At 38.7% G+C, this 23849-nt stretch overlaps 1 protein-coding gene and 1 non-coding gene across 8 annotated transcripts in view; one reads left to right on the top strand and one right to left on the bottom strand.

Annotated features, from left to right (window-relative positions):
* The window catches only part of SMARCA1 (SNF2 related chromatin remodeling ATPase 1), a 76985-nt gene continuing 59175 nt past the window's right edge, over positions 6040-23849 (top strand). For all 7 annotated transcript variants that reach the window (NM_001282875.2, NM_001378264.1, NM_001378263.1 and 4 more), the window contains exons 1-8: positions 6040-6333; positions 11083-11169; positions 13033-13199; positions 13536-13636; positions 13743-13843; positions 17547-17726; positions 21434-21589; positions 23319-23450. In NM_001282875.2, the coding sequence (NP_001269804.1) occupies positions 6160-6333; positions 11083-11169; positions 13033-13199; positions 13536-13636; positions 13743-13843; positions 17547-17726; positions 21434-21589; positions 23319-23450 (1098 nt within the window). In that variant the 5' untranslated portion in view covers positions 6040-6159. The remainder of the gene's footprint in view (positions 6334-11082; positions 11170-13032; positions 13200-13535; positions 13637-13742; positions 13844-17546; positions 17727-21433; positions 21590-23318; positions 23451-23849) is intronic.
* LOC124900503 (small nucleolar RNA SNORD112) lies at positions 10883-10954 on the bottom strand. The gene has a single exon (XR_007068432.1). It is a non-coding gene; the product is annotated as a small nucleolar RNA SNORD112 (small nucleolar RNA).

The following is a 23849-nucleotide window of genomic DNA, read 5'->3' as shown; positions in this document are numbered from 1 at the left end:
GTAGCTGGGATTATGGGCATGCGCCACCACACCCAGCTAATTTTGTATTTTTATTAGAGACGGGATTTCTCCACGTTGGTCAGGCTGCCCTCAAACTCCCGACCTCAGGTGATTCTCCCATCTCGGCCTCCCAAAGTGCTGGGATTATAGGCATGAGCCACCGTGCCTGGCCCCTCCGGCCTCTTTTTAAACAAAGACAAATCGAGTATGACTCCTGTCCTCAAAAAAGTCACAGTCTAAGTAGAGAAGTAGCCTAACCCTCTTCTCCCTCATTACTGCCTTTCTTCAGAACTTACCTTTGGGGAAGTGTAACTGCACCAAATTGCTGACCCTGATAAATGATAATGAACAGAGAAAATGAACTTGGCAAACAGCACTTCCGCCTTATTCCTATTTTAGTTTAGCACTGACTTTCAGACTTACTTTATCATATTCTGGCTTTTTCCTTGGCTTAGCCAAAACTCAAAGCAGCACCCTGCTTTTTTCTTTTTGTTAACTACCATCCACTGAGTATCTGTTATATGCCGGGATCATGTTAAATGTTTTATACACATATTTTACATTAAATCCTCATGAGATCACGTTGAATTAGGTATTATTATACCCATTTTACAGATGCAAATCAGAGGAGAGAGAGGTTAAACAATTTAGTAGAATCTGAACTCCAAGTCTTTCTGACTCTACAGCCAAAGCTGGTAATAATTGTACTATTTTGCCTCTAATAATACCGCCATGGATAATATTGTGCCTTTACATACATAGTAAATACATGGAAATCAATGGTAACATGTGCATCCATGAGAATTTCTACTTGCATGTAATAGAAACTAACTCTGACTTATTTAAGTGGAAATAAAAAGTATTAAATAGTGAAAAAATATTGGGCCTTTAGCAAACCCAATTCAGATTATTTAGCATGTGTTTCGTGTTTTAGGGCATGTATGGGTGGGTAGAATGTCAGGGTTGGGAGCATTTAAGAAAATCTTGCTGGGCGCAGTGGCTCACGCCTGTAATCCCAGGACTTTGGGAGGCCAAGGCGGGCGGATCAAGAGGTCAGGAGTTTCAGACCAGCCTGACCGACATGGTGAAACCCCATATCTACTAAAAATACAAAAATTAGCCAGGCGTGGTGGCACACGCCTGTAGTCCCAGCTACTCGGGAGGCTGAGACAGAAGAATCGCTTGAATCCAGGAGGTGGTGGTTGCAGTGAGCTGGGATTGTGCCACTGCACTCCAGCCTGGGCGACAGAACGAGACTCTGTCTCAAAAAAAAAAAAAAAAAAAAGAAAGAAAGAAAATCTCATTTTTTTTCCTGAGCTAGTTTTGCAAAATTGCTTAAAAGTAGAAAAATCATTTTATATACCGCCTAAAACAATGTCAAAAATCATTCCTCAATCAAGTAACATTATTGTGAACCGTATAATACTCACATTGCTTCTGCTACATTATACATTACTACTGCATTGTCTCTTCTGTGTGAAATTGTTCTGTTCATTTTTTTTTTCGGGACGAAGTCTTGCTCTGTCACCCAGGCTAGAGTGCAGTGGTGTGACCTTGGCTCACTGCAACTTCCGCCTCCCGGGTTCAAGCGATTCTCCTGCCTCAGCCTCCCAAGTAGCTGGGATTACAGGTGCCTGCCACCACACCCAGTTAATTTTTTTTATTTTTAGAAGAGACGGGGTTTCACCCTCTTGGCCAGGCTGGTCTCGAACTCCTGACTTCATGATCTACCCACCTCGGCCTCTCAATGTGCTGGTATTACAGGCGTGAGCCACTGCACCTGGCCTGTTTTTTTTTGTTTTTTTGTTTTTGTTTTTGTTTTTGACTCACCCTATCTACAAGGTCATACTCCTTCTGTTAAGGATTAATTTCAACTTGTTCAGTTTTGAGTAATACGTTTTGATTCATCTATAAAATGGTATTTATCTATTACATAAAGAAACACCTTCATTGAGGAAAACTAGAATAGAAAAGCAAAATAAGAAAAAAATATTACACACAATCCCACCACCTTGCTGTATGTAACTACTGGTTTAACATTTGGAGTAGAACCTTCCAGGGTTTGTCCTTTGTGGAAATACATTTATGTAAATAGTGTTTTTCAGTGTGTGTGTGTGGTGAAAATGGGATCATTCTAACTTTTTGCCTGTATGTTTTCACTTAACAATATACAGGAATATATTTTCATGTCAACAGATACCTGATTACATAATCATTCATTTTTTTTTTTTTTTTTTGAAACGGAGTCTCACTCTGTCGCCCAGGCTGGGGTGCAGTGGTGCCACCTCGCCTCACTGCAACCTCCCCCTCCAGAATTCAAGCAATTCTCCTGCCTCAGCCTCCCTAGTAGCTGGGATTACAGGCGCCCGCCACTACGCACAGGTAATTTTTTGTATTTTTAGTAGAGATGGGGTTTCATCATGTTGGCCAGGCTGGTCTCGAACTTCTGACCTTGTGATTCACCTGCCTCGGCCTCCCAAAGTTCTGGGATTACAGGCATGAGCCACCGCGTCTAGTCAACACATAATCATTCTTAATGCTTGCATAACATTCCATTTATTAATGTACTATACAATGTTTTGCCAATCCTTTCTTCTTGGACATCTCAGTTCTTTCTGTTACGCTCTCCCCTTCTTTGCACAAACTGTCCTGAGTCCCATTACTGTTTTGAGAGTTTACTTTAGAGCATGGGTGTCCAACCTTTTGGCTTCCCTGGGTCATACTGGAAGAATAATTGTCCTGGGCCACACATAAAATACTAATGCCAATGATAGCTGATACTCAAAAAAAAAAAAAAAAAAAAAAAAAAGGTCCATGCCGAATTTTCATGATATCCACCACCACAGATAGGCAAAAAAGTTCTTGCATTCAAAGGGTCGGACACGGCTGCTTTAGAGGGAACACCATGGAGATAGATGGCAGAAATATTTTTCAGTTATTTTCTCAGTATAATTTCTACTGTCAAGGAGGAAGCCCTGTGAAGACCAGTGAACTTAATAAAGATGAAAAACGAGGTTTGGACTAGACAGTCTGGGGTTTGAATGTCACTTACTAGCTGTGGAACCTTAGATGAGTTGTTTAGCCTAAATCTCCATTTTCTTATCTGTAAAATAGGGATAATAATATTTATTTCATAGAATTATTTGGAGGATTAGCAATATCATATGTAAAGAATCTAGCACAGTGCCTAATACAATAGTGGGTGCTCAAGAAATGGTAGACATATACTAGTTATTACCATGACCTTTTCCTTAAAATACAGATCACCAAGGAAATATCACATTTTCAAAAATGCCACTATCATAAATGTCTTTAAAAAAATAGTGAGAAAGCTTACTGATATGAACAGAATGGTTACTGTAGCTGTAAGCAAGACAGTGTGTCCAGAATCTTTTCTGCCAGTTTCTGAAGAACATTAATCAGTCGGATCACAATGTGGTTTTAAGTCATACTGTGGTTTCAATGACAAATTTCAGATGCAAAATAAGAGAAGGAACACGAAGCCTTTGGCTTTTCCTTTATGAATTTTGTAAAACATTTAATATCACCAGTGGACACATGTTCTAGTAGCTACTAAACAAGTTTGGCTATTCGAGAATGATTGTTGAATAACCTCTATAATCTACCAAAATGGACGTATTGACTGGTAGACCAAGATTAGTTCTGAGGTTCCCAGTTTATTTTTATTTTTATTTTATTTTATTTTTTGATACGGAGTCTCGCTCTGTTGCCAGGCTGGAGTGCAGTGGCTTGATCTTCGCTCACTGCAATCTCTACCTCCTGGGTTCAAGCGATTCTCCTGCCTCAGCCTCCCGAGTAGCTGGGATTACAGGCACGCACCACCATACCCAGCTAATTTTTGTATTTTTAGTAGAGAAGGGGTTTCACCATGTTGGCCAGGATGGTCTGGATCTCCTTGTGATCAGCCTGCCTCGGCCTCCCAAAGTGCTGGGATTACAGGCGTGAGAGCCAGTTCTTTATAAAAGTTTGCTCTGTTCTCCAACCCCAATGGAATAGAGCAATCCAAGACCATTTCAAATGAAAAGACATAATTGGGGAAAGTAGTAGCAGATAGAGCAAGGTGTTGAGTAGGCTCAGAAATGAGATGACTCTTGTTGAACAAAGTCTACAGATCATGAATTTTAGGCAGATTTACAAATAAGGATAGCACATGCTCTGTAAATAGCAGCTGTTGCCACAAGCCAAAGGGCAATATTTACATGAATCCTGTGGCAAGGTCTGTTGACCAAGCATCGACCTTTCCAGCCAAATTCATATACTTGGTAGCACTTTCAGCCGCGTCATCTTGAAAAGGAAGGATTGCATTATACATGCATGGAAAATTGCCAACGTACAAATATGTTCTGCCCCCAAATAAATTTTTAAATTCTTTTTTTGGAACATGGAACACATGTCCCCACAAAAAAAAGGTGTTATAAAGGGATGTGTTTCCCAGATTTCCTCACAAAAGTGCATTTAACCCACGATGTAACTGAAATAATGTACACTGACAATGAGAAATACAGTGGAACAAAACTGACTTGAAAGCAGGGACACACCAATACACAACAAATATTTCTTGAGCTTTTCTCCTTTGCAGCCCCATGCAAGGAAAGAGGAATTCTATCTTTCAATAGCTGCAACATGGTGAAAAATAAATCCTCCACTGTTGCTGTCCTTAAGGGTCCTTCTCAAGACAGGGTATTTAGGGTGTCCATTGCCTCAAGTATTTATCATTTCTATGTGTTGGGAACATTTCATGTCCTCTCTTCTAGCTATTTCGAAATATACATTGCATTGTTTGTTCAGTAGAGTCACCCTACTCTACTTTGAACATTATAACTTATTCCTTCCATCTAACTGTATATTTGTACTCATTAACTGACCTCTCTTCATTGATCCGCCTCAACCCCACACACCCTTCCCAGACTTCTGGTACCTATCATTCTACTCTCTACCTCCATGAGATCAACTTTTTAGCTCCCACATATGAGTGAGAACATGTGTTATTTGTCTTTCTGTGCCTGGCTTATTTTGTGCAACATAATAAACATCAGTTTCATTTATGTTGCTGCAAATGACATTTCATTCTTTTTTATGGCTACATAGTATTCCATTGTGTATACAGACCACATTTTCCTTAACCATTCACCTGCTGATGGACACTGATTGATTCTGTATCACGAAATGATTTTATATCCATGATCATTCATATTATGTGTTGTATTATTACCAAATAATAATGGAGGTGCAAATAGAACCTGTGCCAAAAAATCACAGTAATTCATTTCAATTGCTAATATTGAGTGCCTACCACATGTTGCCCCAGGTTCGGTGGGTAACCTTGTCCCCTAGGAATTTAAAAATGCAGTGGTGAAGGTAAGAGAAGTGTTCCTGCACATTGGCTACCTGAGAGGTACCAGAGGTGAAAATAGAGCAAATATACGTAAAACTTGAGAGTCAGACTTTGCCTTGTAAGTGAATGTGTTTGCAGCTGCAATCAAGAGATTCAAGGAGTGCTTCTCTTTGTGCAGAATTTAGGAAGGTGGAAACAGCACCGCTAATCCTACCTCTTTAGGGATCCGGGAAAGGGCAGTCCCAGAGGGGTTCCGCGCTTTGCAAATGGTGAAAAAGACCTTCTACAGTACAGTTAGGAGCAGAGGAAAAGTTCTTTGTGCAAGAAGGGGAGAGCGCCCCGAGGTACAAAGAGCAGATTTAAGGGAAAGAGGATTCGTTCTGCACGCATCTGCGAGGGGAGCTCAGGCTCACTGTTGGGGGCGTGTGGGAAAGGAGATTTTCAGGGGGCCGCGAGTTGTGGGTTCCCGCCTCCACCCCTGTCCGCGCCCCACACTCAGGCAACAGTTGGTCGTGCGGGGCCGGCCCGGGCTCTGGGTGGGGAAGGGGAGTCTCGCGATCGTTGAGGGGGGGGGGGTGGAGGAAGGGGGGAGAGTGACGGGGGGAGGCCATGACGTAGGGTGGGTGGACGGAAGTGGGGCAGGGTTGAGGGTTATTTAAAGAAGGGGGGGCCTGAGCGAAGGGGTTGGAAGCGGAGTGATTCCCCACCCCTGCTCCATCTAGCTCTTTCCAGTGCAGCCACTGCCGCCGCCCAGGAGCCCTCGTCCCCTGCCTTGTCCCCCTACTCGTTCCCGCTCCCACGGCATGGAGCAGGACACTGCCGCAGTGGCAGCCACCGTGGCAGCCGCGGATGCGACCGCCACTATCGTGGTCATAGAGGACGAGCAGCCCGGGCCGTCCACCTCTCAGGAGGAGGGAGCGGCCGCCGCGGCCACCGAAGCCACCGCGGCCACGGAGAAGGGCGAGAAGAAGAAGGAGGTAAATAGGAAGGGGGTGTGTGTGTGGTGGACAAATCCTGTGCCTGGCCCCTCTGAGGGGCCCAAACCCTGACCTTTCGGCGCCGACAGGTACCCGCGGAGCTTTGCGGGGCTAGGGGCGGCGGGTGCGGGGGTCGGCGGCGGAACCGCCTGGCGTTCGCTCCCCTCCCCCTTTCCTTCTCGCCGCCTGGAGGACGGGGGCGGGGCTGGGCGCGGGCGGGAGCGGCGCGGGGTGGAGGGGTGCCCGCTCTCCCGGGGCCTGGGGGCTCGGGAGCCCCTCGACAGCCCCCGACCCCCTCCACCTTCCCGGAACTCGGGTAACGGGGTGGGGGATGGGGCTGTGCAGGAAAAAGCCTCCGCCTCTCCCTCTCCTCTCGCTCGCTCCCTCTCCCCCCGCCTTCCCGTCGGCCTCTGCCTGGGAAATCTGGGCCCTTCAATCCCACACTCGCGCTAAAGGGGTTTTGCTGGGGCTTTTTTTGTAATTTGAATTTCAAGGTGCTGGTGGTTGCTGGGTGGAGGGTGACAGGGAAGACATTTCTTTCTTTCATTGGCAATGTCGGTCTTTTGGATGGCAGGAAAAAAACCATCCCTTGTTCGTTTGAACCCCGCCTGCCGAGGTGGGGGTGTCACCCCGAGGAAAGGAGCTCTCTGCGTCGTACCCCCCCGCCCCCCCAAACTGAGGAACCGTGGACGCTGGCTTAGGAAAATTTCCAACATCTGCACCCTCACCCTCTTCTGCCCCGCCCCCGACGGTATAGGGTTTCACTCCAGGGCCACCCCAATGGTCCCTCAATCCGGCCCCAAGCTTTCCAGGCTTCCGCCTCCCTCTCCTAGTGGGCGCTGCTGGCTCCTGGACACACACAGGTTTTTTTTTTTTTTCTCCTTTAATTTTTAAAAAACTCAGCGTCGCCAAGATGAGCTGCTTCTAACGTAAGGGAACTGCTCTGACACATATTAAAGCCAATCCAGAAAATATGTATTATCTCCATAAGGCACATTTCGTGTGGCCCGAGACATGCAAATAAAACTATAAAACGTTGAAAAATTGACATAAAAATAGGATGGGGCATAAGCATTTTTGATGTATGATAAAATTGCATAACTAATGGTTTATGTGTGGATTTTTTCCTATTTACGAGTAGTCATATCGCAATTTTAAAAAGGTGGGTAATTATGCTTTAGAGATCTCAAGTGGCTTTGTCTGAATCATTATATGATACTATACGACCAAATGAAAAGCTTTTGAGGAAAATGAACACCTTTCGCCTTAAATGAGAAGAGTAATTTTAAATTTAGCAGTTGCTTCTGTGACATATTTTACTATTACAAGGTTGACTAAACAGAAGGACAATTGTAGTGCTAAATGAAAACCGTAGAAAACATACACATTGTAAGATCTACGCGGTACTTGGATTAGTAAGACAATATTGTTGGTTAAAAGTGGGTGTAATACCAAGCATCAATATAAATCAAATGTTGTGAAATTCGGAAATGTCTGTGTGCCTTTTATTCCCTGGACTGGGCAAATGTGAGTGCCAAACTGCCTTTTGTATGGCAGGAGAGGTTGTCGAATTTCCAGATTGTATAAATTTTTGAATTTTGTATAAAATTTTGTATTGTGAAAAAACGGGAGACCAATAAAAAAGCTATATAATATAAACACTGAGTTGATGCCTACATATTTGTCAACTCTTGCCTCATTAGAAATTGCCCTACCAGTACTTCATTTGTCCACCCAGGACAGGGAAATGAGGTGCTGTATGTCAGGAACTTCCTGGATATCCATTTTTATTTTTAATTTTTCCTTAAAAAATGAAATACATTACATACTACCTTGACACTTTAAATTGCATACTAAAAGTGCAGATTAACCTCTTCTTCATGGCCATCAGTTAGTGTACTTTGACAGTGACACAAAGGCACCTGAAATCCCGCAGGTTGTTCCCTCTCAATTAAGTAACCACCTACCAGACTCTTGCAGTGTTGTGTTGATTTTTAAAAATAATTTTTCCAGCCGGGCGCGGTGGCTCGCGCCTGTAATCCTAGCACTTTGGGAGGCCGAGGCGGGTAGATCACTTGAGGTCAGGAGTTCGAAACCAGCCTGGCCAATATGGTGAAACCCCGTCTCTACTAAAAATACCAAAAAAAAAAAATTAGCCAAGTGTGGTGGCAGGCACCTGTAATCCCAGCTACTTGGGAGGCTGAGGCAGGAGAATCGCTTGAACCCGGAAGGCTCAGGTTGCAGTGAGCCGAGATCCCACCACTGCACTCCAACCTGAGCAACAGAGTGAGACTCCGTCTCAAAATAAATAAATAAATAAAAATTTTCTGTCTTCTTCCTTAATTGCCAGGCTGTTAGCGATCACTTTTTAAACACCTCTAGTTTCACCAGAAATAATATGTTAGTTTATGATAAAGATTATAGGTGTAACAAAACCATAAACTCATTTGAAAACCACTGTAAAATACAAAAGTGTCAGTGATAAAACAGGGAGAGGGAAATAATGACACGTGCACACCAAGAATCAGTGATGCTACTGCAGTGGAAGACATTTTCGTCCTTGGTTTCTGCCGTGTCTTCTTGTAGAGTGCCTTCATCTAGTGATCTTTCCATGTCATTTACTGTTGCTTGTATTCTCGGTGACATGGGAAGCCAGATTTTCAAACTTGGTGGAATTGTCTACCAAATAAAAAGAAAATAGGTTTCTGAATGAGAGCGCTTTCATGATGAATACAGTAGATGAGAATTAGTGAATTGACCTGTGACATTTACCTACTCAAAGGTGTTTTTGCTTACTTTCTGGTTGTTGAATTTAGTTGGTTTAAGTGACGGTTGGATTACCCAACACTGTAGACATGAAAACGTCAAGAAAAAGGTCATGGTCTTTAAAACAAGCCATTTTGTTGACCTTGTGCTGCATTCTCATGGCACCTAGACTCAGATAACAAAATCCAAAGGAATTCATTAGAGTCTCTTAGTCACTTTTCATCTTTTCTTGTATGAAAAAAATGTAGTTTTGAGAATACACACACACACACACACACACACACACACACACGAGAGAAGGTTTAGAAGGTAGGTATTTTAAAATTTGTTGTGGAAGATAGTGCCAATTAAGTAATTACCCACAGCTTTTAATAGCCCTGCTCAAGATTAGGATTTTAATTAGCATATAATTAGATTTTGATGGTAGTCTACCGCAAGGTAAGCAAAAAAGTAATGGGTAAAATGTTTTTCTAGGATTAAAGCTTTAATTTTCTGTAAGTGTACTTCCCACATTATTATATATATTTGTGCGTATGAGGCAAAGTAATTTTCATTGTTTTGATACTGGAAAACTGCACTTCATATAACCTTTCAAGGAATGAATGATAAACGTATGGATTTGATACCCAATTTTTCTTGTTGCTTTGAAAATAAATATGATTTATATTATATATGGCAGTCTGAAAGTGTGAGTTTGAGGGGCTCTTTAGCAGTTTTCTATTCTCATCCATCCAGGATTACATTCAAAACATTCCATATAGATGTGTACGTATCAGATGCTGTAAATCAAGATGGTTATTATTTGGGTTAGTGTAACTGAATGATATCTGATCAGTGCTACAAAGTAAGAGTCTGGACAAGGTCAAATTCCATAATCTCAGTTTGGATTTCCTCAAAATAGAAATTTTAGTAAATATTGGAAGACATAATGGGGGCCATATTTTTCTTATGTTTAAGGTCACATTCTGTTGATTTTTGACCTAAGTTTTCATAAATAGGTTGACAAAAGCCATGATAGTTTTCACGAACAAATTTGTGTTTTCTCTTATGCAAAGTATGTGTTAAAACTGAAATGCTCTCATCTTTGGTTCTGGTGGGTAGATTTGTGTTTTTATTATTTTATTTCTTGGTTTCTTATAGGGAAGGAGGCTTATTCTATATATGTATTTATATTTGCCAGTACAGGCTTGTCTTTACAAAGGATAGGGTGCATGAGATAACCCCCTTCCCCAGATAATCTCTATATTAAGTTATTGATTGATGTTAGTTTTCGCTAAATTACAATTTAAAAATATCAAACATTAATAGTTAAGTAGCCTTGACAAATTGCTTCTACAAGATGTTTATGCAATATAAATAGTTTAAAGTAGTTTTCTTCCCAGTTAGAGAAAATTAACATAAGCCAAAAGTTTAAAACTGTACTATTATATTAAGTATATGTGATCACATTGCATTACATAAAAAATTAAATATTCTTATAATACTATGAAAACAATTTTAAAAATATCGTTTTAGGAACAGAAACCACAGTTTTTTTTTCTGAAAGTGTGGCGTATTTCCATGACATAAAGGAGTGTTTCTTAGAATTAATATTTACTTTCTTTGAATTATTTGGTTTGTGGTTGATATTAGCCTTTTCTAGATTTTAAAATCTCTTATTTAATGTTTACACATTTTCTTACACTATAAATTAAAGAATGGATGAGAAAGCTCAGTGTCTTGCCTTTTGGGTTTTATTCCAATTAATATTTCTTTGGCATTCACAATTTTTCAGATTTTTTTTATTGGACCTCAGGTGTACAGAACTGGATTAATCATAAGCCTTGTTTTGTGACATGCTCTCATCATTGGTCCATACATGTCCCACATTGATTTATATATTTAGTTATGTAATTACTTTCCGCCTTCTTCTAATGAGAGCATTGACCAGTTTAAGAACCTTGCTTTGCAATTTGGTGACATTTATTTTCTTTGAAATTCTAGAAAAACGTTTCTTCATTTCAACTCAAACTTGCTGCTAAAGCGCCTAAATCTGAAAAGGAAATGGACCCAGAATATGAAGAGAAAATGGTAAATGTAGTCTTGGATAGGATAGTGAATGCTGTAATTAATTTTTATAGTTGAGATGTTAAAGATGAAAAAATACATGTATATATATAATGCATAGAGAATCATTGATTTTAGAATTGGAAAATAATTTAATATACAATCTATCACAATATTTTCTGTTGAATAAATTAACCTCCTCATTTTCAGATGAGGAAATAAAGGATCAGGGAAGCTATATGTCATAGTTAGGACTAGAAGTCACATCTCATTTTGGTTCGGTGCTCTCTGTCCCATAATAAAGTGCTTTAAGCTAGAAATATTTATTTATGAGGTGAAAATATCAGTGGTAATACCACTGTGGCTTTGTGACCTGAGAGAAATCCAGTCACAAAGCCAGATTGACGTATTTTTGTTTCTTTCTCCTTCTTTGGACATATGAATAAATGCTACACATTAATGAAATGTGTAATATGTCAATACACTTTAAAGGGAAGAATATTTGTCCAATGCATGAAGATATCACATATTTAAGCAGCATAATCTTAGTTATACTTACATATTGCTTGCTATAATACATTTAATTATTTAATTTTTAGTTACTAAAATACATATTTTAGCTTTAATTTTAACTAAACTCTTATAACCTTGGATCTTTCAAGAATTTAACAGGTGGTTGAAATGGATTTTTTTTTCCTCTGAGGGGTTGTTTTTGCAGTAATATTATAAAAATAAGTATAGATGAAATATATTTTTTGGTTGTTGATAGCTATTTTATAAGACTTAATGTTTAAGGCCACATCTAATGTAGGTAGGCAATGTTTTAACAACTCTAAAAATAACATTCCAGTGAGGATAATATAAAATGGAAAGTTTTTGGCCTCCTTCCAGCTTGTAGTCTGAATTTATCTAACTCTTATGTTTATGTTAATGAACTCTTCTGTAAGTTTTCTGGGTTATTAATTATGCATCCTTCATTAGCAATCAAGTATTCTCTACTCTGTGGTTGGAAAGTGACTTTGAATAAATAAATAGTCTTTATTTTTTCCTTTATCTAGAATGATGTATATATCTTTTGATCTTTTAAGATTTTTTTAGTGAAACAAAGTTTTATTGCCTGTATATGGTACACGTTCCCTGACCTTTTACAATTTATTGAGAAATTAGAATACATATCAACTTTTAATAGTTAATAAACTATTTCACATATATGTGCATATGTTTATATATTTTTCCCAAATTCTGCTTACTTTGGGGAGAAAGTTTATACGCTACTAGCACAAAATACAGTTTTCTAGATCCCTGTGAGTGAAGAGAGGAGTGTTTATTACATTACTATACCATGACACTGAAAATATTTTGAGACAAGATGATACTGTATTTTAAGATTTAAGTTATTTCTGGATACAACTTGGAAATTCTTAAGAGTTCAGTTTATGGTATATATATCATAGTTAATTTATATTTCAATATTTGGGATATGTTATATATTTGATGCTTAATTTTGTTACTATTTTATTTAATAAAATGATGTTTTGGAAAGAGGATTTGCTTTATGATTATGACTCTTTAAGAAGGGTATTTCTTATTGGGGAATTTACTGTCTGTCAGATAATTTTTCTTCCCTTCAAACTATTTGAAAATACATTTTCAAATTCTGCTGCTTATTAGCTGTGCAAGGTTGGGCAAATTACTTACCCTCTCTGTGCTTCAGTATCATGTAGTTACAATGGAGATGATACTTGTAATTACGTCATAGGTTTCTTAAGAGAATTGAATGGATTAATGTTTCAAGTGCTAAGAATGTTGTTCAAAGTAAGTATTTGTTAAATAACTTTGAAGGAATGAAAAGGAAAGTCCTTACTTTTCTTTTGTTTTGCAAATTAGAAAGCCGACCGAGCAAAGAGATTTGAATTTTTACTGAAGCAGACAGAACTTTTTGCACATTTCATTCAGCCTTCAGCACAGAAATCTCCAACATCTCCACTGAACATGAAATTGGGACGTCCCCGAATAAAGAAAGATGAAAAGCAGAGCTTAATTTCTGCTGGAGAGTATGTTGGCACCTCTCTCTCTACTTTCTTTCCTTTCTCCTACCTTTTCTTCCTCCTGTCCTCCCTTGATCCCTTCATGCACCCCTTCGCTCTTCATTGTTCAGTATACCTTCATGTGACAAAAAATATTGCCATTATAATTATGTTTTGAAGACAACTATATTTTTTTCTCACTAGAGGCTGATCAGTAAAAATGTAGGCTGGTTCTACTGATTTCTAAGCAAGACCTTGGACAACTCATTCTTTTTCTATAAAAGATAATAGCCATGTACACTGATTTAATTGATACCTTATCATTTAGGTCGAATATGAAGGGATTTCCTTTTTTAATTTCAGCTACCGCCATAGGCGCACAGAGCAAGAAGAAGATGAAGAGCTACTGTCTGAGAGTCGGAAAACATCTAATGTGTGTATTAGATTTGAGGTGTCACCTTCATGTAAGTACTTCATCACATTGGTGAGTTCTTTTTCAATTTAGTTTTAGAAAAATTTTACTTGAGTATGTTAATGAAAGTATGAAATGTCCTTGCATTTTTTCACCAGATGTGAAAGGGGGGCCACTGAGAGATTATCAGATTCGAGGACTGAATTGGTTGATCTCTTTATATGAAAATGGAGTCAATGGCATTTTGGCTGATGAAATGGTAAGGAATTGGTAGCTAAAAACACATTCTCAGTTATCAATGATTTTTATGTAAATTTGAAAAACCTGAGCTTACCTGCCCCCCTGATGCCTGGAGGCTTTTTAAAAGTTGTTATCATGTAAAAGGTATTTTGTAGTCTTAGAATTATTATTATTTTTTTGAGAGAGGATCTCTTTGTGTTTCCAGGCTTGAGTGCAGTGGTGCAATCTCGGCTCACTGTACCCTCGACTTCCTGGGTTCAAGCGATCCTCCTGCCTCAGCCTCCTGAGTAGCTGCGACTCCAGGCACGTGCCCACCACACTGGGCTAATTTTTATTTTTATTTTTAGTAGAGACAGGTCTCGCCACGTCACCCACACTGATTTTGAACTCCTGGGCTCAAGCAGTCCTCCCACCTCGACCTCCCGAAGTGTTGGGATTACAGGTGTGAGCCACAGCACCCAGCTAGAATTGTTTCGTTAAGTCACCGCTAGAACACAGACTTTCACAGGCCATAAAACTCTTACTGAGCTTTCCTCAAATGGTCCAAAAACCTTCTCTGTACTTTTGTTTTTGTTTGCATTTTGGCTTCCAGGAAGCACAGAGTCAAGATGGATGCCCAAATGATGCCTTTATGTAACTTTTTTTTTAAAATTTTTTGAGATGGAGTCTCGCTCTGTCACCCAGACTGGAGTGCAGTGGCACGATCTCAGCTCACTGCCACCTCCACCTCCCAGGTTCAAGCAATTCTCTGTCTCAGTCTCCTGAATAGCTGGGGTTACAGGCGCCTGCCACCACGTCCGGCTAATTTTTTTGTATTTTTAGTAGAGATGGGGTTTCACCGTTTTGGCCAGGCTGGTCTTGAACTCCTGACCTTGTGATCCACCTGCTTCGGCCTCCCAGAGTGCTGGGATTACAGGTGTGAGCCACCCCCACCCTGGCCTTATGTAACCTTTAATGGTCTGCCCTGTGTGTCCTTCTGTCTTTTCCTATTCTTTATCTACTTGTCTTTCTTACTTTCCTTGTCGTCTCTTTATTTCTATTTTGCCATTAATTTATGTTCCATGTTTTCATTGTAGGCTACCTGAAATCCTTTTGGGAATAAGGTGGGGTATACAAACCAAACAATATGTAAATGACTGCCTGAATATATGCATGTGTGAATGATTATCAATATTTTGACTTGTGAACAATCAAAAAGTGCATAGGTGGAATAAGGAACGAATAAAGAGTAATGTTGAATCTTGATACAGTACAGTGCATGGTGGGGCTTTGGAAATCAGTGAAGGAGTTATAAATGTGTAAATAAAATAACTGAACAGGAAAAAGTAAGGCATATAAGATGCTAATTCATCAGCTAAAGGGGGAATACATGAAGGCTTTTTTTTTTTTGAGACGGAGTCTCGCTCTGTCGCCCAGGCTGGAGTGCAGTGGCATGATCTCGGCTCACTGCAATCTCCTCCTTCTGGGTTCATGCCATTCTCCTGCCTCAGCCTCCCGAGTAGCTGGGACTACAGGCGCCCGCCACCGCGCCCAGCTAATTTTTTGTATTTTTTTAGTAGAGACGGGGTTTCACGATGGTCTCGATCTCCTGACCTCGTGATCCTCCCGCCTTGGCCTCCCAAAGTGCTGGGATTACAGGCGTGAGCCACTGTGCCTGGCCCCATATTTGTATTTTAAGACCAAATTAATAAAATGCGATTTAAGAGAGGGCAGGGAAAGTTCTAAATCCATATAACTCAATGATACTCATATTTATGTGACTCTGAAACCATACTTGTAATCACTATTATCCAGAAGAGCCACATGATGATACGTGCCCTATGGCGTCTAGTATAGTTGGTAGTCAGTCGCATAAGTACTCATCCCTGGTTGAGCAACTGTTAGGTGTGTGGCAGAGGATCCCTTAAAGCAAGGGTCTGTAGCTCCTTATATTTAGGTATTCTAGTTTGAAGACTGTTGTCAGCTCAGAGGGGGAGGAGCTTGGTTAATTGGACAATGGAAGGACCAGGATTATTTGCCCCAAGCAGCTCTTGGCTTCAGCCTGTCTAAACATGAAGGATCTGATCTTTAGTGATGAATTTGTGCTGATATCAGATATATGTATTATATATATAATATATAATATATAAATATATATAATATATACTTACTTTTTTTAATATATATATATAATTTTTTTTTGAGATGGAGTTTTGCTCTTGTTGTCCAGGCTGGAGTGCAATGGCGTGATCATTGCTTACTGCAACCTCCACCTCCCGGGTTCAAGCGGTTCTCCTCCCCCAGCCTCCCAGGTAGCTGGGATTACAGGCGCCCACCACCACGCCTGGCTAATTTTGTATTTTTAGTAGAGATGGGGTTTCACCATGTTGGTCAGGCTGTTCTCAAACTCCTGACTTCAGGTGATCCATCTGCCTCGGTCTCCCAAAGTGCTGGGATTACAGGTGTGAGCCACTGCACCCAGCCGATACCAGATATGTTTTAATTACTAAAAAATAGACACTTTTAAGGAGTATAGAAAATTTGGAAAAAAATGAATAATTAAAATTAAGTTATAATTCTGCTACTTAGAAGTAACCACAGCTAACATTTTGGCATATTTCATTTTAGTCTTTTTCTTCTGGATGTACTTATTTTGTATAGTTGAAATCATATTGTATATATAATTTGGCATTCTGATTTATTTACATTCATACATATGTTCCATGTAATTAAGACATTTTCCGAACATAATTAATTATTGCATAATAATCCTTGGGCGGTACCATAATTTTATTCAACTTCTCTCTTATTGCTGTTCATTTGGATTGCCCGATGTGTAGTGTAAATAATGCCACTATAAGACTCTTGTAATTTAGTTTTTGTGCACCTCTCAGATTATTTCCGTAGGATTCCTAGAAGTAGAATTACTGGGTTAAGGAGTATAAACATTTTAAGGTTTTGATGTATAGTATTCATAAAAGTTGTCTCATTAAGTGACATATCAGATAGGATACAATAAAAAAATAGCTTTAAGCAGACATTTATAAAAAGAAGTATATATCTTGCTCAGAGATAAAACCGAAAGCAGTTTTAAGAGGCCGAAAAAGGACTTAGTTCCCTTTCTTATGGGTTAGGTATGGGTTCATAGATATTGAATATATTATTTTTTAAAAAGTCCTCTGGAGTTGGTGATCTCTCTCAGGTTCTTTCTGGCTGCAAAGTTCTGTTTTGTGGTTCCTAAGGTTCTTAAGAGTGTGAGATGCAAGTACAGAGCCACAAGCCCCTTGAGACACATAGTCTGAATATTTAATATCTGGGCTGTAATAATGTTAGGAACAATAGGAAAGAAAGACCAGTATCTAAGCAGGCTGGCAAAGGAAGCGGGTCTTTATAAAACAAACACACAGAAAATTCCTAACTTCAGAACAAGAAGAAAAATTATATAGTAGATTGCTTGCTCCTTTAGGAGGAAAATGTTCTAAATAGAAAGTTGCTTTGTTGAGCAACATTCTGACTGCAAGTTATTGGTTTCTGTTTGTGCTCACGGTAAGTACAATACTGAATTGGAATGATTTGGTTATCTTCTTTAAAAAAAGGTATTTGGTATTTTTACTTTTCATTGGTAGAAACATAATTGCCTTTGCGAGATAGTGGACAAAGATCTTTTGTTATGTTGTTCCTAACAAAATGTTTCCTTACAGAAAAAATGTTCATGGATTTTTTTCCTTGTGATGATAATGCAGGGCCTTGGGAAAACTTTACAAACAATTGCTTTGCTTGGTTACCTGAAACACTACCGAAATATTCCTGGACCTCACATGGTTTTAGTTCCAAAGTCTACTTTACACAACTGGATGAATGAATTTAAACGATGGGTCCCATCTCTCCGTGTCATTTGTTTTGTCGGAGACAAGGATGCCAGAGTAAGTGAGAAACAAGTGTAAAAAGGCAGTTAAGAATAATATCATTTCTGGAGTTTAGTTACATATTATTGCTGTTAAAAACATCTGAGTTGACTACTACTAAATAAGACTTAAGGTGTATGTACTCTAAGCTAGACTCTGTTTTAAGTGCTTTGCATCTATTAATTTAATTCTCACAACACTCCCATGAGGTAGATATATCACCTATTAATAATAGACAATCCATTATTATGCTTCATCTACATTTGCTTTAGTTCATTAACCTAAGCATTTTTGAATTGTACTTTGAGTGACTTTTCATTAAAAACATCTTATTTTATTGACAGTATATCTTACCAGTGACTCTCATTTGTGCTATTTTGAAGCCAACAATATATAAATTTGCATTACTTAAAATTTTATATTTAAGTTTTTGACTTTTGACTTGGTGTACACACACGCATATGCATGTACACAACTGGAACCTCTTCTATATGTACAGAGAGCCTCGTGTTTTGTGTTTATGCATAGACGCAGCTTTCAGTTTTGGTGTTTGAATAGAAAAATACATGTCTGTATATATTCTCAGGTAATATTAGAAACTGGGCATTTTAGGGGGGTGTTTAAATCAGCCATTTGTCAGTCTAGTAGGCTACAATCATTTTAGGACTGTAGAATTAATCTAAAAATAATATATTATGTAAAAATACTAAAACAGATAATCTGCTTAGAAAGCTTATTATTAAACTTTGTCTTTATTTGCCTCCAGAGAACACAGTTTAGAGATGTATTCAGTTTTCCATATTTAGATAGGTTATCTAAAGATATCCTCAAAAGAATGGTAGTGCAATGAATTACATAATTTTATCCTTATCATTTTGCTTGAAGAAAAATTACTTAAATTTATTTAAATTTAACTTACAAATAATTTAAATATTGAAATACTGAGCTCATAAGTTTACAATTACAGGCCAGATTCTTCCCTATGCCTAATATTTCCCTAAAGCAAATTAGTCACTTAGAACTCTTTCTGGTCACCATTGTTATCTAATGTAATACCACTCCATATAAACTTTGCATTTCTAAAGTATTGAGCTTTTGCTAAAATTATTTCTTAAAGATTAAAAGCAAAAGATAAATATCTAGGTTTGTGTTTTCATAATGTCTCGGTATATTTAATTTATGACTGCCCTATCTCTACTTCCTGGGGAGGCTGGGATTCTGGTGGCTTGAAAAATTTCTTTGTTTCTTTTTCCAGAGGCGGGGTCTCGCTCTGTCGCCCAGGCTGGAATGCAGTGATGTGATCATAGCTCACTGCAGCCTTGAACTCCTGGGCTCAAGCGATCCTCTCACCTCGGGTTCCTGAGTTGCTGGGACTACAAGTGTGCACCACTGTGCCTGGCTTTGAAAAATTTCTTAATCTTGAAAACCGGTCTTCAAAGTTAGTGTTTTTCAAATTGTGAGTTGCTACCCATTAGTGGGTTGTGACTTTAGCTTAGTACTTGGTAAAACAATTTTCTGCAACATTGAGAGAGAATGGAATAGCAAATTGCAGAGTGTTTCATACTATAATAAGGATAAATATTGCTTTGAGAAACTTTTAAGTTGCCTCTTTCTGTGTACACACACTCAAACATATATGTATATACTGGATTGCAATTCAAAAGGTAATTTTACTGTGGGCTATGGTCAAAAGAGTTTGAAAACCAATAATTGCCAGTTACATAAATAATAAGTGTACCATGTTCAGCACTTAGAGATTGATGTGGATATGTATAGAGGAAGTCCAGATCATTACATATAGACAGATTTGAATCTTGGTAGAACATAGGATAGATATGTTGGGTCTTTGTATTTTCCTGGTCTTCTGTAAACATTTTATGAAGGTAATATTTTAGTAATAAAAATTTGATGTAGGTTATAATAGGCATTTAATTGAGTTGGGAGATTATTAGAGATACTCTTGATCCTGTCTGATTGATACCAATGTGCTTTGTGGCCCCTTCCTTTTCCACGCCAGAGGTATCAAAGATAGTAGACATAGAAATGGGTTTGATTTCAGTTGTGGCTTTGCTACTGATTGTGTAGGGTTGAGTGAGTCTTCAAGGGCCTTAATTTTTTCACCTCTAAAATGAGAGCTTTTGGATTATGTGACACCTTTAATGTTTTATCGAGATGTTTAACTCTAAATGTATCCAATAGTTACAAAAAATTCAAAGCAGAGCTAATTTAAATTAAAAATATGCATTTGTTGCATGAAACTTGTAGGCGAAACCATGAAACTGAGAGCTTCACAAAATCAAATAAGGATAAGGTGTTAGCACGACTGAATGGGGTCTGGCACTCTACTTCTCTTTATTTTGTCTCCTATTCCCTAATGTCTTAATTAAATTTATAAATGTGATCACTTCCCAGGGTGCAACTGAGATCTCTGAAAAGGCCTTTTTTTTTCTGTCCTCCTCTTCAGTCCAGGTGATTCTCTTATACATAGTAGACAATCAGTAAATATCTGTTGAATGAGTCTGCAGTGTGTTTAGTGCATAGTTGTGAATTATGAAATAAAGACTTTGCAGGGAACAGTTAATTTTGTTTATGCACTGTAACTCCAGATTTATAAAACTTTTTTTTTTTTTTTTGAGACGGACTCTCACTCTGTCGCAAAGGCTTGAGTGCAGTGGTGACATCTTAGCTCACTGCAGCCTCCCCGCCTCCTGGGTTCAAGCGATTCTCCTGCCTCAGCCTCCCAAGTAGCTGGGATTACAGGTGTGAGCCACCATGCCCAGCTAATTTTTGTATTTTTTAGTAGAGATGGGGTTTCACCATGTTGGCCAGGCTGTTCTTGAACTCCTGACCTCGTGATCCATCTGCCTTGGCCTCCCAAAGTGCTGACATTACAGGCGTGAGCCACCATGCCCAGCTAGATTTATAATACTAATCAGCCTCTTCTTAATATAGATTTTGCTGCTTCCCATTAACTTTTGTGGTTTTATTTTGACTGATAACATCTGGAATTCAGCTCATACAAGTTAAAAATGCTCTCAGTCAACTTACCTACCATGTTGGCCACTGCCTGTGAAGACTTAAAAATAGTTTTAAATAGTCTCATTGTTTTCCATAGCCTCCTGTACTAGACAGAGCAAGTCCCCTTTATGAAATCATATTTGTAACCTCATGGCAAGATCTGGAACTTCACAAAAACATTAGTGGGCTTCCATGACCTTTTAACAAAGTATATGAGTCAGCCCAGCTAGAAAATGAAGAAGGGACATACAAGAGTTCTCCAAAGGTTGGAATCATTCATGCACATTGAGTTCTATTTGTTGAAACTGTATCATGTTGGTAACTCTTGGATCTTGGCAAGAATATGTTGTTCAGAAAGAGTTACTTTGTCTATGTTCTTTTGGATGCCCCATGATATGAAGACAAGCCCAGTAACTTTGTGATTTCTGGTCATACGAACTTTTCTAGGTCATTGAATATGCCATATTTCTGTAAGGGAAGCCTTTGTTTCTCTTCTGTTAATGAATATATTAGCAGGTCATCCAGATAATTGACCACACAACTATCTTTGGGCCTCAGTTTTCCCATCTCTAAAATGGATGAAACTAAATGATCCTCAGGGTCTCTTAGAATTCTTAATATTTTCTTGATATTTTAATTCTGTGATCATCTTATAACATATTCTAATATAAATATATTCTAATATGAAGTATTTTATTTTGCATTAGGCTGCTTTTATTCGTGATGAAATGATGCCAGGAGAGTGGGATGTTTGCGTTACTTCTTATGAGATGGTAATTAAAGAAAAATCTGTATTCAAAAAGTTTCACTGGCGATACCTGGTCATTGATGAAGCTCACAGAATAAAGAATGAAAAATCTAAGGTAAGTTATCAATATCTTTATTAAAGTTTACATTTAATTACCAGGTTGGTTTGTTCACTTTTCTGTATTCAGAATAAAAAATGATGGAACAGCCGGTGTGGTGGCTCACGCCTGTAATCCCAGCACTTTGGGAGGCCGAGGAGGGCGGATCACAAGATCAAGAGATTGAGACCATTCTGACCAACATGGTGAAACCCCGTCTCTACTAAAAATACAAAAATTATCAGGGTGTGGTGGTGCATGCCTGTAGTCCCAGCTACTTGGGAGGCTGAGGCAGGAGAATAGCTTGAACCCGGGAGGCGGAGGTTGCAGTGAGCCGAGATCGCACCCCTGCACTTCAGCCTGGCAAAAGAGTGAGACTCCGTCTCAAGAAAAAAGATGGAACATTGTGATTTTATTCATGGAATGTGAATGCAAATCTAAATTATTGAATACAAGACACATTAAAATTGAGCACAGTTTTTAATGTAAAGAAAATTAAGTGTTCCTTTGGTATACCTCCTGTGCCTAACTGTTATGCTGTAGTATTTTAATATTGTTGAGAATATTTAGTGTGCAAATATCGTTTGTATTGATTTATTTTTTATTGAGGGGCTACCTTATATATATTTATATGGATGAGAGAAAATAATTTCCTGGAATTATCTGACTTGTGTGAATTAGAGTGTGGTGTTAACACTGAAAAATATCAATATTTCTTGCCATTCAACTCCATCAACAGTAGGAAAAGCTTCAATTATGATGAACCTCTCTTTGGATCACTGGGCTAATTTGGGAGAAACAGGGACAGAACTGGAGCAAAACCACCAGGTGGATTATACTAATTTCAAATTGGAACTAATATCTGATAAGAGGACACATGCTAGAGAATAATTTTTTATTTAAGAGCATTATAAAAATGTGCATTTTTGTTCATATGATTACCATTCTTTTGTGCTTTTTGTGTCTTAATTTTTCTGGTCTTATGTTTAGAAAGTTAATATAAGTTACTGGGAAAATCGGCTCAATTCTGGGGCTTAAAAATTGTGACCAGGCCAAGTTAGAACGTGTCTGGGCATGTAGATGAATGTGGTTGGTGGGGAGATGGAGATTTTATTGTGTAAAATGGCTAACCTGGATTCCATGGAGAAGTTCTGACCTTTTTCTGTGAGCCCAAAATGGAGAAATGAAAATTTTGAAGTTGGGGGGAGGGTCTCAGGTATAAATATGATCTGCATTCTTCTTCCTTTTTTTTTTTTTTTTTTTTTTTTTGAGACGGAGTTTCACTCCGTTGCCCAGGGTGGAGTGCAGTGGTGTGATCTCAGCTCACTGCAACTTCCGCCTCCTGGATTGAAATGATTCTCCTGCCTCAGCCTCCTGAGTAGCTGGAATTAAAGGCGTGCACCACCACGCCCAGCTAATTTTTTTTTGTATTTTTAGTAGAGATGGGGTTTCACCATGTTGGCAAGTCTGTCTCAAACCCCAGACCTGAGGTGATCCACCTGCCTTGGCCACCCAAAGTGCTGGGATTACAGGCATGAGCCACTGCGCCTGGCTTGCATTCTTTTAAGTATAGAAATGTTTAGTTTTGCCTCACTGCAGCATTGTCACCTGAACTAGGGTATTTTTCCATAGAAAATTTTCAAGTTATATTGTAGTCAAAAATATATTGGTTGGATAAATTACAGTATAACTGAATGTTGAGCATTCTAATAAGTAAAATAATCCTCATATGAGTATTATTTTCTAGCTTTCAGAGATTGTTCGTGAGTTCAAGTCGACTAACCGCTTGCTCCTAACTGGAACACCTTTGCAGAATAACCTGCATGAACTGTGGGCCTTACTCAACTTTTTATTGCCTGATGTCTTTAATTCTGCAGATGTAAGTTTAAGCCATACGTTTTAAGTATAACTTTCTTATTTTCACTGACATGTGTTTTAAAACATTATAGATTGAAATTTATGGTACTTTTTAATTTGTAATTTTTTATCTGCATGTTTTGGTTTTCTTAGGAAAGAGTTCTTTAATAGAGTTTTAAAATGAGGATCTTTGGAGAAATAGTATGCTTCTTGTCTTTGAGATCAACTTGCCTGTTCAATTTTGTCTCTATCACATTACTCCTAAAACTTATGATGTGAGGCTGAGTCCATAGTAGTGCATTCACCATTTTATTTTCATTAAGTTGAAGGGGTTTGAAACATATTTTTATATACTAGTTTGGCAGGTGGAAGCTATAAAATGATCTTTGATTATTGTAGGCATTGACATTTGGTGAGTGCT

This window comes from Homo sapiens, chromosome X (assembly GCF_000001405.40).
Source record: "Homo sapiens chromosome X, GRCh38.p14 Primary Assembly".
NCBI lineage: Eukaryota > Metazoa > Chordata > Mammalia > Primates > Hominidae > Homo > Homo sapiens.
This window is presented reverse-complemented; position numbering and strand designations above follow the sequence as displayed.